This window comes from Homo sapiens, chromosome 10 (assembly GCF_000001405.40).
Source record: "Homo sapiens chromosome 10, GRCh38.p14 Primary Assembly".
NCBI lineage: Eukaryota > Metazoa > Chordata > Mammalia > Primates > Hominidae > Homo > Homo sapiens.
The window spans coordinates 118084813-118100567 of NC_000010.11; the positions used below are offsets into that span (position 1 = coordinate 118084813).

At 39.7% G+C, this 15755-nt stretch overlaps 1 long non-coding RNA gene across 3 annotated transcripts in view; it reads left to right on the forward strand.

Annotated features, from left to right (window-relative positions):
• The window catches only part of CASC2 (cancer susceptibility 2), a 163333-nt gene that overhangs the window by 37992 nt on the left and 109586 nt on the right, over window positions 1–15755 (forward strand). The window contains exon 4 of one of the 3 annotated variants that reach the window (NR_026941.1): window positions 13384–15324. The exons of the other annotated variants lie outside the window; for them this stretch is intronic. This is a non-coding gene — a long non-coding RNA (cancer susceptibility 2). Of the gene's footprint in view, window positions 1–13383; window positions 15325–15755 lie in introns of those variants that run through there. 3 annotated transcript variants of the gene reach the window in all.

Genomic DNA, 15755 nt, shown 5'->3' on the forward strand with positions numbered 1-15755 from the left:
TTCAGCCCCCAAAACAACTCTCATAGGTTGTTGAGTGCCAGCAACTTTTCCAGGCACAGACTGCAAGCTGCTAGTAGATCTACCATTTTGGTGTCTGGAGGATGGTGGCCTCCTTCCCGCAGCTTAACTAGGCAGTGCCCCAGTGGGGACTGTGTGGAGCTTCCAACCACACGTTTCCCCACTGCATTGCCCTAGTAGAGGTTCTCTGTGAGGGCTTTAACCCTGCAACAAGCTTTTGCTTGGGTGCCCAGGGTTTTTCATACATCCTCTGAAATCTAGATGGAGGCTGCCAAGCCTCCTTCACTGTTGCATTCTGCATGCCTACAAGCTTAACATCGCATGGAAGCTGCCAAAGCTTATGGCTTACACCCTCTGAAACAGCAGCCTAATCTATATCAGGGGCCCTTTGAGCTGAGGATGGAGCCAGAGTGGCCAGGATGTGGGGAACATTGTCCCAACGTTGTGCAGAATAGTGTGAAGCTGGGGGGAGGGTGAGGGGGTTGGGTAGGGGTGCAGGTGTGAGTGGGGAGGGTGTCCCTGGGCCTGGACCATGAAACTATTCAGTCTTCCTAGGTCTCTGGTCCTGTGATGAGAGGGGCTGCCTCCAAGATCTCTGAAATGCCTTTGAGGTCTTTTCTCCATTGTCTTGGCTATTAGCACATGGCTACTTTTTACTTGTGCAAATCTCCTAAAAAGTGGTTGCTCCACAGTCTCCTTGAATTCATCTCCTAAAAAAGCTCTTTCTTTCTTTGCCACATGACCAGGCTGCAAATTTTCCAAACTTTTATGCTCTTACTCCTGTTTAAATATAAGTTCCAACTTTAAGTCATTTCTTTGCTTCCACACCTGAATGTATGCTGTTAGAAGCAACCATGTCATATCTTGAATGCTTTGTTGCTTAGAAATGTCTTTGGCCAGATAGCCTAAATCATCACTCTGAAGTTCAAACTTCCACAGATCCCAAAGGCATGAATAGAATGCAACCAAGTTCTTTTCTAAGACATAACACAGGTGACCTTTGCTCCGGTTCCCAATAAGTTCCTCATTTTCATGTGAGACCTTATCAGCCTGAACTTCACTGTCCATATCACCATCAGCATTTTGGTTACAATCATTTAACCAGTCTCTAAGAAATTCCAAACTTTATTTCATCTTTTTGTCTTTTTCTGAGCCCTCCAAACTCCTCCAAACCTCTACCTGTTACCCAGTTCCAAAGTCACATTCACATTTTCAGATATCTTTATAGCAATTCCTCATTCCTTGGTACCAACTTTCTGTATTAGACCATTCTTGCATTCCTATAAAGAAATACTTGAGACTGGATAATTTATAAAGAATAGAGGTTTAATTGGCTCACATTTCTGCAGGCTATACAAGCATGGCCCCGCATCTGCTCAGCTTCTACAGAGGCCTCAGGGAACTTTTACTCATGGAAAAAGGCAAAGCAGGAGCAGGCATGTCACACAGCAAAAGCAGGAGCGAGAAAGAGTGTGTGTGTGTGTGTGTGTGTGTGTGTGTGTGTGTGTGTGTGTTGGGAGCAGGGGAAGGAACCATACACTTAAACAACCAGATCTTGTGAGAACTCTTTCACTATCATGAGAACAGCACCAAGCCACGAGGGATTCATCTCCATGACCCAAACACCTCCCACAAGGCCCCAGCTCCAACACTGGGGATTACAATTCACCATGAGATTTGGCAGGGACATATATTCAAATTAGATCACCCAGTCATAAAATATAGTCTTAGAATTTCTTTTATTTTTTTTTGTTAACAGGTGTATCTCCTATCATTGTTTAATAAAAACTGTGCCTCAATTCATTATTTCAGTTACTATGTTAGAGTCTTTACTTTTAGAATAGGATCTCATGCCTCCAATATTTTGGTGACCTCATGTAATTAACATGCAGTTTCACGGAGGAATGTGAATTTAGGTAGGATGTGGGGACATCGGGGTCCCTTTCTCACAGTGAAACCACGCTTTTGTAGAACTGACTGCTTACTCTCCCTGGGAGACATGAATGTATTATCCCTGCTTTGTTGGAAAACAAAGGTTATATATAGTCTCTGTGGAGTGTGTCAAGGTAAGGGGTTGAAGGAGAGGAAAACATGACAGTGGGAAGGGATGCTGGAATAATTTAAAGCAGAAGGGAACAGAAAAAGAGAAGAGAGTCACCAAGGAAAGAAAGGCAGCATCAGCTATATATACTCCTGATAAGTGGGTTTGTGCCATGTCAATGTCTGAGCCTTTCATCTTTGTTTGCAAAATCATTCAACTATGGGATACTTCAAACCAATGTTTCCAAAAGTGAGTGGCTTTTAGGTGGCAAATATTTTTCTAGATATAAATGTATCTCAGCCGGGAGCAGTGGCTCATGCCTGTAATCCCAGCTACTCGGGAGGCTGAAGCAAGAGAATCACTTGAACCAGGAGGCAGAGGTTGCAGTGACCTGAGGTTGTGCCACTGCACTCCGGCCTAGATGACAGGGCGAGACTCTGTCTCAAAAAATAAAAAAACAGGCCAGGCGTGGTGACTCACGCCTATAATCCCAGAACTTTGGGAGGCCGAGGTGGGCGGATCACCTGAGGTCAGGAGTTCGAAACCAGCCTGGCCAACATGGTGAAACCCCGTCTCTACTAAAAATACAAAAATAAGCCGGGTGTGGTGGCTGATGCATGTAATCCCAGCTACTCATGAGGCTGGGGTGGGAGAATCACTTGAACCTGGGAGGCAGAGGTTGCAGTGAGCTGAGATCACGCCACTGGGTTCCAGCCTGGGCAATGGAGCAAGACTCCATCTCAAAAATAAAATAAAAATAAAAAATAAAAATAAATATATCTGTATACACTTCATACATACTGTTTCAGAAAAATATGTATTATATATAAATATAATCATACATATAATATACATACATTATATATTCACATTTCATAATATATAATATATACATAATATATAAATGTACTTTTAAGATAAATATATAAATATATATGTAACCAGCACATCTATGTATGATAGTGAAAGAAACTTCCCCTTAACAAAATAAATAAATTTAGATTTTTTTAAGAGTCAAATTTGCTAACAAGGATTAAATAACTCATAGGTGGTGATCCTTGAATATGTCTAAAATCATGAAGATCGTATGTGAATGACAAGTTTAGGAAATATATCTCTAAAAAGACCTTCTGTTTGTAGGTTTATCTTTCAGCTTTTTAAAAGTTTACCGGTGTAAGGGAGTGATCCTGAAAAGGATAAGGGTGAATTCTTGCCAGAACTGACTTTTTCAAAGTGCGCATGTTCCCTGCTCACCTCCCCACTGACACATTCTGACAGGTCTCTATTCCCTTCCCAGCTCCCTCTGACTTTGCATGGTGTGGAGGCAGAGGAAACGGCTGAGAACAACTAACTCCAGTAAGGCATTCCTAGCTCATTCAGGTCCAAAGAAGGAAGGGGGAAACAGCCACAACAAAGCAGCCCCCAATACACACGCACCACACACACACACACAGAAACACACATACACACTCACACTCACACACACAGTTTCTTTATCCACTATATTGCAGGCCATTCAATATAGCAGAAAAAAAATCTTGAGACAAAACTGTCTACTTGGAGACATTTTTGTTCAGTTGATTAATTCTGTGATTTTACATTTTTTGAACATGGAAGCCCAGGGTATGGTTCATAATATTTTCAGTCTAGGAACAGCTGAATGAAGTAACAGTCTTTTAAGAAGGGTCCTCAAAGCGAAGCAGGTTCATTTTCTAGAAGAACAAAATCCTTCTGGGCATTTTTGTGTGTTCCATTCAAGTCTGAGATAAATCCAAGAGGGGCTTGACAGATGTGATTGTCATAGTGTACTGGGACCAAATTACTCTGGGTGCCAAGAACTAATGTTAAAATAAAATTGGAAAGTTATTTCTTTCCATGCTGCCCCCTTCTCTGAATCTCCAAAGCATTTGTTTTGTAAAATCCTAAGTAGAAACACATTTTGGTGCCATAATTTCAAACAAACCATCTCTTTTTGAACTCTGCAGCCCAGAACACAATAGCATATCAAGTTCACAAAATTTCAGATAAACCACGTTCAAGCTATAAAAATGACCCCCCACCAAAAGTCTTAATTTTTCCCACATCTCCTTTCTTTTTCCCACACTACTTTAAGGAAGCTCAGCTTTGCTGTCTCTTTGACAAGGGTTGCTGCTGTGGAGACACACACTGTTGCCCAGTGGCTGAATCTATTCATAATTTAGTTTAAGTTATCTTTTCCTGGTGGAGTCATTTTGACCACATTTACCATTTTGTGAGGCACAAAGTAGGCATTAGTGAGCGACTGAACACTCAAAGAAAGAAATGATTGGATTAAAATTGGGGTGCATTAACTATCATTCACACAAGAACTGTCTTATCAACCTGTTTTTACAACTTGCTCTGAGATAGAAAAAAAAGAAAAGTATTATTGTTCTGAGCTCTGCATTTTGCTTAAACTAGTGTGCTTAAAGCAGTTAAATACTACCATATTGCTTTTTAAAGTCATTTAAAAATACTCTAAGTTCAATAATCCATTGAACATTCAAATGTCACTATTATTATCTATTTATTTGGATACATATGGCTGTCTTTGTTTAACTTGTTGAAAGTAGTACCACATTAAAATAACCTGAATAAATGACCAGAATAAATAAAATGACTTGAAAGTTGCTCAGAATAATTGCAGAGAAGTGAGAGAAGCCAGAATAATTCCTCTTCAATCAGGTACCCAAATGTTTTATTATTGTACAAATGACTTATACACATATTATAGTAGCCTAAAAGTTTTAAAAATATGGACATCCTTTAGGGCAAAAAGGTGTAAATCTCTAAGAGGTAGAGTAGAAAACATGATTTATTCTGTTTTCCTAGCATTGCTAGTTTCCAGGTGTTCACCGTTTGATCCAGCTACAGGCAATGATTTTCTGAAGTGGTTTCTGATGGTGTCTGACATCATTTATAGTACTCTTGAACAATCTTGTAATGTGCTAAACTACACCAAATTAAGTGAGTTAGTGGCCAAAAAAGAGTCCAATAGACCCATGGGTATCATGAGTGTTTTGCTACATGCTGCCTCTTGTATTCACTGCTCAGAGGGAAGAAGTAAAGTTTTTCTGATCCTCTGATATATCAAGTGGTGGATTTGGTGGAGAGCTATAGAGAATCTGGGACAAGTAGGAATGGATTGAACAGTCTTAAGCAAGTGGAAGTTTACAAGTTGCCAGACTGTGTCCTTTGTGATCATTCATGTATTTATTCATTCAGTCAGTCAATCACCAAATATCCATTGAAGTGCTGCTCTCTGTAACATGTGGCAAAATATGTCGTGTGGGAAATAAAGATGAGAGAGATCATGACCTTGAGCTAAAGGAGTTTATAGTGAGAAAGAGAGATGGCATAGAGAAATGAGTTAATGTGAAGGCACAATCATGTGTCAACATTAAAGCAATAGCGTGTATACGTTCAGAGGTAGGAGAGATTGCTTTCAGCTGGAGTGATCAAGAAAATACTCACTCATTCATATGCCCATTGGTTTATCACATATACATAGTCAGGTACTATGGTAAGCACTGAATACACAACAGTGAAGGAGAGGGTAAGCAGGCAGTTAAAATGCATTCATCTGATCACTCAAACAATATATATTGAGGGTCTACTGCATGACAAGCTTTGTTCCAGACTCTGGGGGTTGTTTGATGAATAGGCAAAGCACTTTCTCTCACAGAGCTTACATTCTAGTAGGGAAGATAATCAACAAGCAAGTAAATACATAATAATGCAATTTTAGATCATTAATGCTGCAAAGAAAGTAAATTGGTTTAGCAGGGTAGATGATGAAAAGACATGGAAGGCTATTTTAGATTGGATGGCTAGGGAAAGGCTCTGGAAGGGAAAGATCTAACTGATGAGAGAAGTTGGCCACAGAAGACCCAGATGTCATGGGAAGTGCCAGTGAGAGGGAGGAGCGTGGGGATGTTGAGGAACAGATAGGCAGCCCAAGAGGTCACCATAAGGGAAGTAGTGGAGGGGAAGCTGGACAGTGGCTGGGGCTAGATCTTTTGGGCCCTGAGTCCATAGTCCAAGAACTTGGGAAGCTACTGGAAGATTTTAATCAGAATTGTGATGGGATCTGAGTTTAAGAGTTGGCTGGAATTGTTAAGAATGGAAGAAGCAGGAAAACTACTTAGCATGTTGAAGCAACAGTCTACAAGAAAGATGAGGAGTAGCTTGAACTTGTGTAGTAATGGTGGATTCAGTGAGGAGTAATCAGGATTTGGGTAACTTTTTTAAATAGAGAGGATAAAGCTGATGCATGGGATGTGAAGTGGGAGAAAAAGAGAGGAACCAAGAATAAATCCTATGGTTTTAGGCCTGAAGAACTTGTGGATTTTTGCACACTTGACTGATATGAGGAAGACCAGGAAGAAAATGGCTTGGGAGAGGAAATTAAGAATTCCGTTTGAGCATTATATTGGTTTCCTAGGGCTAATGTAACAAATTACTCTGACCTTGGTAGATTAAAACAATAGAAATTTATTCTCTCACAGTTCTAGGAGCCAGAAGTCCAGGTGTCATCAGGGCCACGCTCCCTCTGGAGGCTCTAGGGGAGAATCCGTCCTTGCCTCTTTCAGCTTCTAGTGGCTCCGGACATTCCTTAGTTTGTAGCAACATGGCTCTAATCTCTGCCTCCATCTTTACATGGCCTTCTCTTTTGTGTCTATGTCTTCTCCTGTTTCTTTTAAGGACATTTGTCATTAGATTTAGGGCCCACCTGGATAAACTAGGATGATTAATCTAGAGATCCCTAACTTAATTACACCTGCTAAGACATTTTTTCCAAGTAAGTTAATGGTCATATTAACTTTATGCATGGCGTTAGGGTTAGGGCATGAACATATCATTTGGGGGCCACCAACTCAATCCCCTACTGGAATAGTAAGTCCAGAGGTCTTGTAAAAGGTCTTCCTGCCTAAAAAGGAGGCAGGAAGAAAATTAAGACAGCACTGTGGTCCTGGAAGCCACAGCATTTCAAGGCAGAAGTTGTGACCAACAGTGTCAGATGTTGCTGAGAAGTCCAGGAACATGAGAATAGTAGACTCATCACTGGGTGTGATAATATGGTGGCCTTTACATGTGTGGTGTCATTGGAATGGTGGGGCTGAAAGGCTTAGCAGCATGGATTACAGATAGAATATGCAGTAAAGTAGGAGAGAGTGCCAGAAAGGACGTCTCAATCAAGGAGTACAGCATGCTATGAGAGAAAACAGGAGCAGCCAAGATTTGGGTGGGGAGGGAACAAGAAAACATTTCAGGAGAACTGACATCTGAATTGAGACCTGAAGGCTGAGTCCCCATTTAGCCAGCAGCCAGTCCAAAAAAAAAAAAAAAATAGGAAGAGAGTTTTTTAGATATCTAGAATATAAGGAGCCACCAATAGGTTTTATGTAGGACAAAGATATAAACAAATTCGCATTTCAGAAACATGACTCTGGCTGATGAGTAGTGAATGGATTAGTGACTAAAGGTAAGTAGCATAGGGTGTGTTGCTCCATTCCAAGCAATACCTGGTGGCAGCCTTTACTGAGAAAGAGGTGGTAAACAGGGGTGATATTAATAATACTGAGTAATCAGTGCTCTAGGGTCACTGGCCAATCAAAATGGATGCTAGCTCCAACAACTACTGTAAATGTACTGGCACAGGACCACAGAATATAATCTGCTTGTATACTTAGGAAGGACTGAATAGGTCCTAGAGCAATTGAGAGGTTATAGTTGACAAGATTTGTTTATGGATTGCCTTATTACTTAGGAGCTCAGCAGGACAAGTAGGTCTGCCGAGAGGAGGTGGGCAAAGTTTCAAGTTCAATTTGGGTCAAGCTGAATTCAAGGAGTGGTCCAGGCTAGGTGTGGTGGCTCTTGCCTGTAATCCCAGCACTTTGGGAGGCCAAAGCAGACAGATCACTTGAGCCTAGCGTTGGCAACATGGCAAAATCCCATCTTTACAAAAAATTTAAAAATTAGCTGGGTGTCATGGCACACGATTGTAGTCCTAGTTACTTGGGAAGCTGAGGTGAGAGGATCACCAGAGCTTGGGAGGTCCAGGCTGCAGTGAGCCATGATTGCACCACTGCACTCCAGAAGCCTGGGCAACAGAGTGAGACCCTGTCTCAAAAAAGGGAGTGTTCCAGACCTGTAAGTGCAAATATCCACTAGGCCTTGGAGAGGGCTGGGCTGGCAATATGGTTTTGGGCATCATCAGCATGTGGACAGGTAATGAAAGCCAGGAGAGGGAATGAGTGCACCAGAGGAAAGCCACAGAGTCAGGAGTAAAGAAGGCCAGGGATAGAAACACCAGCCCTTGATGCATGAGCAGAGGAAGAAGAGGCTTCAAAGAAGTGAGAAAAGGAGGGCAGAGAAGAAGGACAGAAGCCAGGAGAACTCAATGTCAAAGAAGCAAATGGAAAAAGTGTGTCAGGAAGAAGGAAATGGTCAAAGGAGTCTTGTGCCACAAAGAGATCTAGAAAGAGAAGGAAGGAAAGATTCTTTGGGTGGAGCAGCAACAACATCATTGATGAGTTTGGCAAGAGCAGTTTCAGTGTGATGGTGGAGGTAGAGGACAGACAGCAAGGAGGTGACAGGAAGAGGTAAGAATATAGAAACAGTGAAGTTGGAAGTTCTTTCAAGGTAAGAAGGGGATGGGAAATAAAGTGTTAGCTGGAAGGGAACGTGGAGCTGGGGAAGACCTGAGCATGTTGAAATGCTTCCTGTGCTCGTGGATTCCACATCTTTGTTTCATAAATTGGGAAGGCAGTCTGTGTCAGGCTCTCTGGTGGCTTTGGGATGGGAAAAACTCAAAAGAGAAGGACGTATTGAATACCTAGGTGGAAAAGTGAATACTGAAGAGGCTGAAGATTCTGAGAAGCTGGGAGAGAGCAGGATAGCCCTTAGATCCGTATGAAGGAAACTGCCACATCCCTTGAAACTAAAAGGAAAAACAAAGGATGATTGCCAAGATAGATTTGAAGGTTATGTGGCAGAAGCTGATGGGGTTACTATCTTGTGTTTTATATTTTCATAGTCATTTGGAGAAGGAGTGAGACTAGGTGGATGAATCAGCCTTCGGCTCCCATCACTACAGAACTATTCTTGTCGAGGTCGCCATGACCTCCAATGTTGCTGATGGTCCTCGTCTTATTAGCAGCATTGGATGCAATTGATTGTTCCTGTTCCTTAAAACACTGTCTTCTGTAGCTTTATCAGATATATTTTGTACATTACTTCAAATAATCTGGGCCCCACTTCTTACTCCAGCCACTGCTCTGGGGGAACTGTTACATATAGGGTTCAGCTAGCTTTGTCCATGCACAAGCTAACCATGTCTTCCTTCTCTTGCTTCCTGTCCTGGGGTTTCCAGGCCACCCCCTTCCTTAGCTACCTAGTGCTGGTGCAATGGGTCAATGAAAATGGGAGGTCAGGAGAGGAAGGGGAGAGGACGTGATGGCAGAGATGGATCTTCAACAGGGGAAGAATAACACAGACTTCCTCTCACCTAGGCTTATCTAGCTACTGCCATTTAAAGTTGATATTATTCATCTCTTTCCAATAGAATAGAAGCTCCATGAGGGTAGGGATTTTTATGTCTTGTTCATTGCCCACCATCTAGAACTGTACCTTGCACATAGTATACTTTCAATAAATATTTGTTGAATGAATAAATGATAGAATTAATAATGTGATTTGTTTATGCAGCCATGAATATCATCAAAAGGGCAGTCTGGGTGGAAGAAACAGCTTAAGCAAAGGGCGGAAGACAAGCATTTTCAGGTTATGTGTCAAGGGCAAGGATTAGTTGTCCCATGTTGAATAATTTGCTTACAGAACTACTTTTTATTCAGAACTTTTGATACACTTCATTGTATAACAGTTCACTGTCTGAATGTTTTCAAACAAAAGCGAGTAGAATAAAACCTGGAGAAATTGTATCTGGCACATACCAAGACTGTTGTCCAATGACCAAAAACAAAGATGGCAAGGCTTCTAAAACAACTCTTTCCACTTTCTGACTGAAAAGATAATATAGAATGAATAAATCGGACAAAGTAGCCTACTACTTAGTGTATCTTTTACCTATAGCACCCAGATTAACTAATATTTCCCTAAACAACCAAACTTTTCCTCTCTTCATATTGCCTGTGCTAACAGTTTCTTAGGATACTAATTATTGGACTTTAATAAGGATAATATAAATTTTTTTTAAAGGCAGTTGTTTTTAAAATAAAAGAGAAAATCCAAGCTTCTCTAACTTCTAAGCTATTTTCCAGAAGCCCCTAGTTGTGTTTATTTTTGCTCAGGGACTATCTCAGCTTCAGTGTGGTTCAGACGTACAAAGTCAGCTTACGTGCCCCGCAGAGCTACATTTATGTAATAAATGGAACACATTGCCTCCAGCTCCCTCACTGGATACAAGCAAGACTCTATGCACTGCTAGGCTGGGTGGCGCTTCTTGAGTTTGAGAACTTATTGGTCGTCTTGGAGGAGGACATGACTGCCTACTTGCATGGCGATGCCTCTGATGAAGGCAGTGCTTCCAAACTGCCCTCCCTCTTCCCTCATCCCTCCCTTTACATGATGCTTCCCTATCTAACTAGTAATAGATCAATTAATTCTTGAAGGTGCCTGAGGATATTGACCACACCTCTCAAGGAGGGAAGTACATATGGGTGTTGACTAGAGTTCATTAATCCTAGGGCTAATCTGGTACCTTCCAATGGACACATTGGAGTGGAAGCTCCTGAGGCCTTCAGCAGCCTAGTTGAGTTAGAGGTTATAGAAAAAAGAAAATAACAAGGATGATGGATAAACTTTTAGCATTTCTGCAATAGTAAGAAGGATATTGCATCATTTTTAGGGCATTTAACAGAAATTATTATAGCAGTAGCATATCTGTGTCCACCACACAAGTTCTTACGTACATTTAGTTCAAAAGGAACATTTATTGCACTTTAAAGTGCTTCTTGGCTGGCATGGTTCTCTTTACTTTCTCTAAGGCACTAAAGAACACAAGGATCTTCTTTTTGCAATAAGGAATTGAGTATATGGATCACTCAGTTTGAATGCCAATCTCAGTGAGTCAAACATCCAGCATTTCTGTTCCCCTGACCCCATATCTGGAAAATTGCCTCCATTATTCATTTAGTTTCTTTCTGTAGCTAGAGCATTTCTTTATATTTTCACTTGGTTATATAAATGACTTTGGAAGTATACAAGTAATTTTTCAAGGTAAACAGTCCATTTTTGTTGCAAAGGACCTTCCGGGGAAAGCACACAGCTCCCACTTCTTCCAGCCAGAGCTTTTTTAACAGGCAGCTCCAAGATCTTTATCATTTATGTCAACCTAATTTTGTTGATAGCTTTGGTTTGACTGAGAGATGGATACCTCACTTTTTCTGCTGTTCCATTCCTATACCCTACAAACTGAAGGCTTCTCTGAAACAATGAGATCTGCATAGTGTTTTGTTTATAATTCAAATGGACAAGTTGAAAATGTCATTGGTTACTCAGCTACTTATTGTTAGTTTTATTGTTAGGCATGGAGAAAAGGCATTTATATGGAATTTTTGTATAGAAAGAAATGAGGATGTCTTAGTTTTATGCACACACACACACACACGCACAGAAACACTCATGCTTATTTTAAAGTACTAATACCAGAGGTGATTTTAGGGTTCTTTAGTACAATCCATTTATTTTGCAAAGGGGAAACTGAATCCAACAGAACTTAATTAGTTGCCCAATACTATAGAACTAATTGTTCATAAAGTCAGAATTAGAACCTAGACCTCCTGAAAGTTTTTTTCCTTGCTATATAGTCTGAAATCTATGAACAGTGTAAATAGAAATCATGACCTCAGATGACATGAGGTTTACTAATTCATTGATTAGCCTTCTTATGAATGTATTGGATCAATAAAGACACAGATATTCATTCCAATAATTGCTCCTCTCTGTCCATCTCTGCTTTTAGATGTATCTAAGTAAATGTCCTCTGCATCAATCAGATTGTGGCTCTCATTGTTTCTTGGGTAATAGTGCTACTAATATGCCTTGTTTAGAATGTAATATATATGATATCTGGAAAGACTTCTCTTATGGATTTTTTTGTAAGAAGAATAATGACTTTTTTATACAATAACAGTTAACCTGGCTCTGTTTTCAAACAAAACGACATATTAGTATCATTTCTAGTTAACCATATCATCCAAGTATTCAATTTTCTTTGCAGAATAGAGCACATTTACATCCATTTTGATCATATAAACAAAAACGTAAGTAATTCTGAATGTAACCATGCTCAGATTTCCTCAGTCAGACAGAGAGCTGATAAGTGTTTAATGGCTGGGGAATAATAGGGAAGGAAAGGGAGGGAGACCGTCCTTAAAACTCGGATATAAACTAGAGGGAGAGAGAACAGGTGCCAAAAATATAAAGAAGAGTGCCTGGGTGCACAGAAACTATCATCCTTGTGCAAACATCAGGTTGGATTTATTTATTGAAAGTAGAAGTGCACATGTACCCTAAAACTTAAAGTATAATAATAATAATAAAGGAAAAAAAAGACAAAAAAAAAGAAAGTAGAAGAGAAGGGCCATTTTAATTCAGGGAATATCCTACTCTTCAGAAGATTCACCTCACGTCATAGAATACATGGGGATTATGAATTTAAAGATCATGGTAGCTCTTCTCTGATGATGTTAGTTTTGTTCATACTAGGCCATCTTTGTGATTGCTGGAAGCTTTCCAGAAAATGTAGTATTTAGGAATTTCAGTAGGTCTTATCTGTATTCTCATGAAAGAGCAGATTATGGTTATTTCTTTAAGCATGTATGTTACATACTTTTAAAAATAAACCGGGGGATTTCCTGTTATGTAAAACATACATATTAAAAAAGGAGGGAACGTCGTGTCTCCAGTTAATGTTTTTCCACTCATACTTCTTGTAATTTTTTCCTAGTCATTTATTCCTTTATTTATATGTGGATTAATTCCAAACAAACTGCCTACCATAAAACTATGCCCTTCTTTAGAAACAAATTAAGTCTATATTATACGAAAAACAAAACATATAATCAAAAACATAATAAAATGTAATAAACAAAAAAGACATATGGAGTGAAATTTTGGAACTAGATTTGGAGATAGTTATATCAAAAAATCTGACACATATTTCACCACGACTCCTTTTCTAACTTTGTAAATGAAGAGGTGTAGTCCACATATCATTAATTTTTCTGAAAGACATTTCTCATCCTAATGTTTTTATGTACCTTTTTGCTTTTCCCCCACAGGTCAAAGATGTTGATTCATTCATAGTGTGAGGCCCAGAAATCGGCATTTTTAAACAAGTACACTGGACATTTCTAAAGCTGGCTAAAGTTTGAGAGACACTATCCAAGGGAAATTTCTCCGTAACTCTTTTTCTCAGAAGAAAAGTAAACTAAAAGTAAAAATAAGCAGTACCACTAAGTTTCAAGTGATCTTCTCCTAAAAGAAGAAAAGGCCTATATTCAGGCACAAGAAAAGTATATTCTCTTTTATCCATGCAGAAAACAGCTAGTGGTTGAAAATCAACACTTCAGACCTCTTGTCTACATAAAGCCAACTGCCCCTTTGTTTTACTGATGTCTTCAATGATTTTACTTAGATTTTTCTACGGCATTTACTGAATTAGCTAAGCAGACACAGATCCAGTCCTTCATGAATATGGTTTGGAGACTCTCTACTGAATCAGCACTCTTAGCTTCACCGACATAGTCTCTTGGTAGACCAGAAGGTGTATCTTATCTGGAAAGACTGCTATATCTACACCCACAAAAAGCATTATTTATCTGAACACTAAATTCTGACTTCCTTGCCATTTTAGGGAGCCACTTTAAAACATTTTCAATATTTGCTATTTTGTAGCAGCAAATCCTTCAGAAGGAGGTCAAGTGATGGCCTTTATCTGTTCCCAGTGTCTTGCCCTTAGGTCCTCAGGGCACCCCCTGGACAGCAGCCTTAGGAACCAGGTACAAAGCACAAGCACTGCTGGTCCGCATGGTAAGGAATCACTTCCAGACTGGGCCTTCCCATGGGCTTCCCTGAGCTTCCTGGACTCAAATCATAGTCCTTCTTTTCCTCTCCCCTTTGGACTTGATAAACGCAGTCCCATTCATTTAATCTCCAACTTAGAAATCCGGAGAATGTGAGCCCTGGGATTTACTTTCAGACACCCTCGTCGATAACCTTGGCCACTTAGGTTGCTGCAGCCTGTCCCCAGGGAGACAGTTAGAATGGAACAATGACACAAACAACACCAACAATAACAACAGCAGCAGAAGCAGAAGCAACAATAGTAGAACGAGAAATAATTTATAACATGCTTACTACATGCCAGGCACTAAGTGCTTACCCATATTAACTCAGTTAATTCTTATAACAACCAGATGAGATAGATTTTCTTATTATCCCGATTTTACAAATGAGCAAACAGAGGCACAAGCAGGTTAAGAAACCTCCCCAAGGTTAAACAGTGAGAAACAGCAAAGATTTGAACAGTGAGAAACAGCAAAGATTTGAAACAGCAAAGATTTGAACCTATTGTTCGGGAGTCCATGCTGTTACTCATTTCTTTATGCTGCCATAATCTAATATAAAATTGAATAACAATAAATGCACCTTATATTTGTATAGCTATACACACTAATTTACATGATCTTCATAAGAACTATGAAATGGCTGTGATTATCCCCATTTTTAAAATGATACTATAAAGGCATAAAATGCTGTATTTATGGTATGCAACCCTTTGGTGAACAACCCTATAAATATTTAATTACTTATATTGATGTTCTTCCTACGTCTAAGAAAAATGTTATTTCCATTCCCAAGATGTTAGTAGAGACGAAGATTTTTCAATTTGTCTCCTTGATTTTGTTGGATTATAGCATTAAAGTTATTTTTACAAAGCCATCTACGGTAACCCAGTAGAAAGGGTAAGCCTGTTGGCTTAGGAAAACTGAATGGCATTCAGTTTCTTCAAAGAAATTTGGGACAGATGTGGGTTTTTTTTCTTCTTCTTCTTCAACAAATCCAGAAGATGAAAAATGTATTTTATTTCTTGTGAAATGCATTTTTCTGTTCATCTCAGTATGTGGGACTGTTGAAGTTTATAAGTTTGGCAGTGTTCTAACATGGCCATCCTGTTCTCCTTTAGCAACTTATTAAATGTATTTTTTTTAATGAAAACAGAACATAGTGGAAAACTTTTTTCATCTTTTGACATTTACTTGTTGGTTAGTGTTTTCTACCAACAAGATCTCAAACCAGTATGACAAAACATCCACAACTCATTTCCAAAGGCATTGCAGATGATGGTGCCCGGCTCTTCTGTACAATGTTTTATTATTTATTTATTTATTTTATTATACTTTAAGTTCTGGGATACATGTGCAGAATGTGCAGGTTTGTTACATAGGTATACATGTGCCATGGTGGTTTGCTGCACCCATCATCTACATTAGGTTTTTCTCCTAATGCTATCCCTCACCTACTCCCCACCCCCGACAAACCCTAGTGTGTGATGTTCCCCTCCCTGTGTCCATGTGTTTTCATTGTTCAACTCCCATCTGAGAATCAGTGATGATTTTAGAGCTGTTAACTAATTCTTTTTAGATCAATG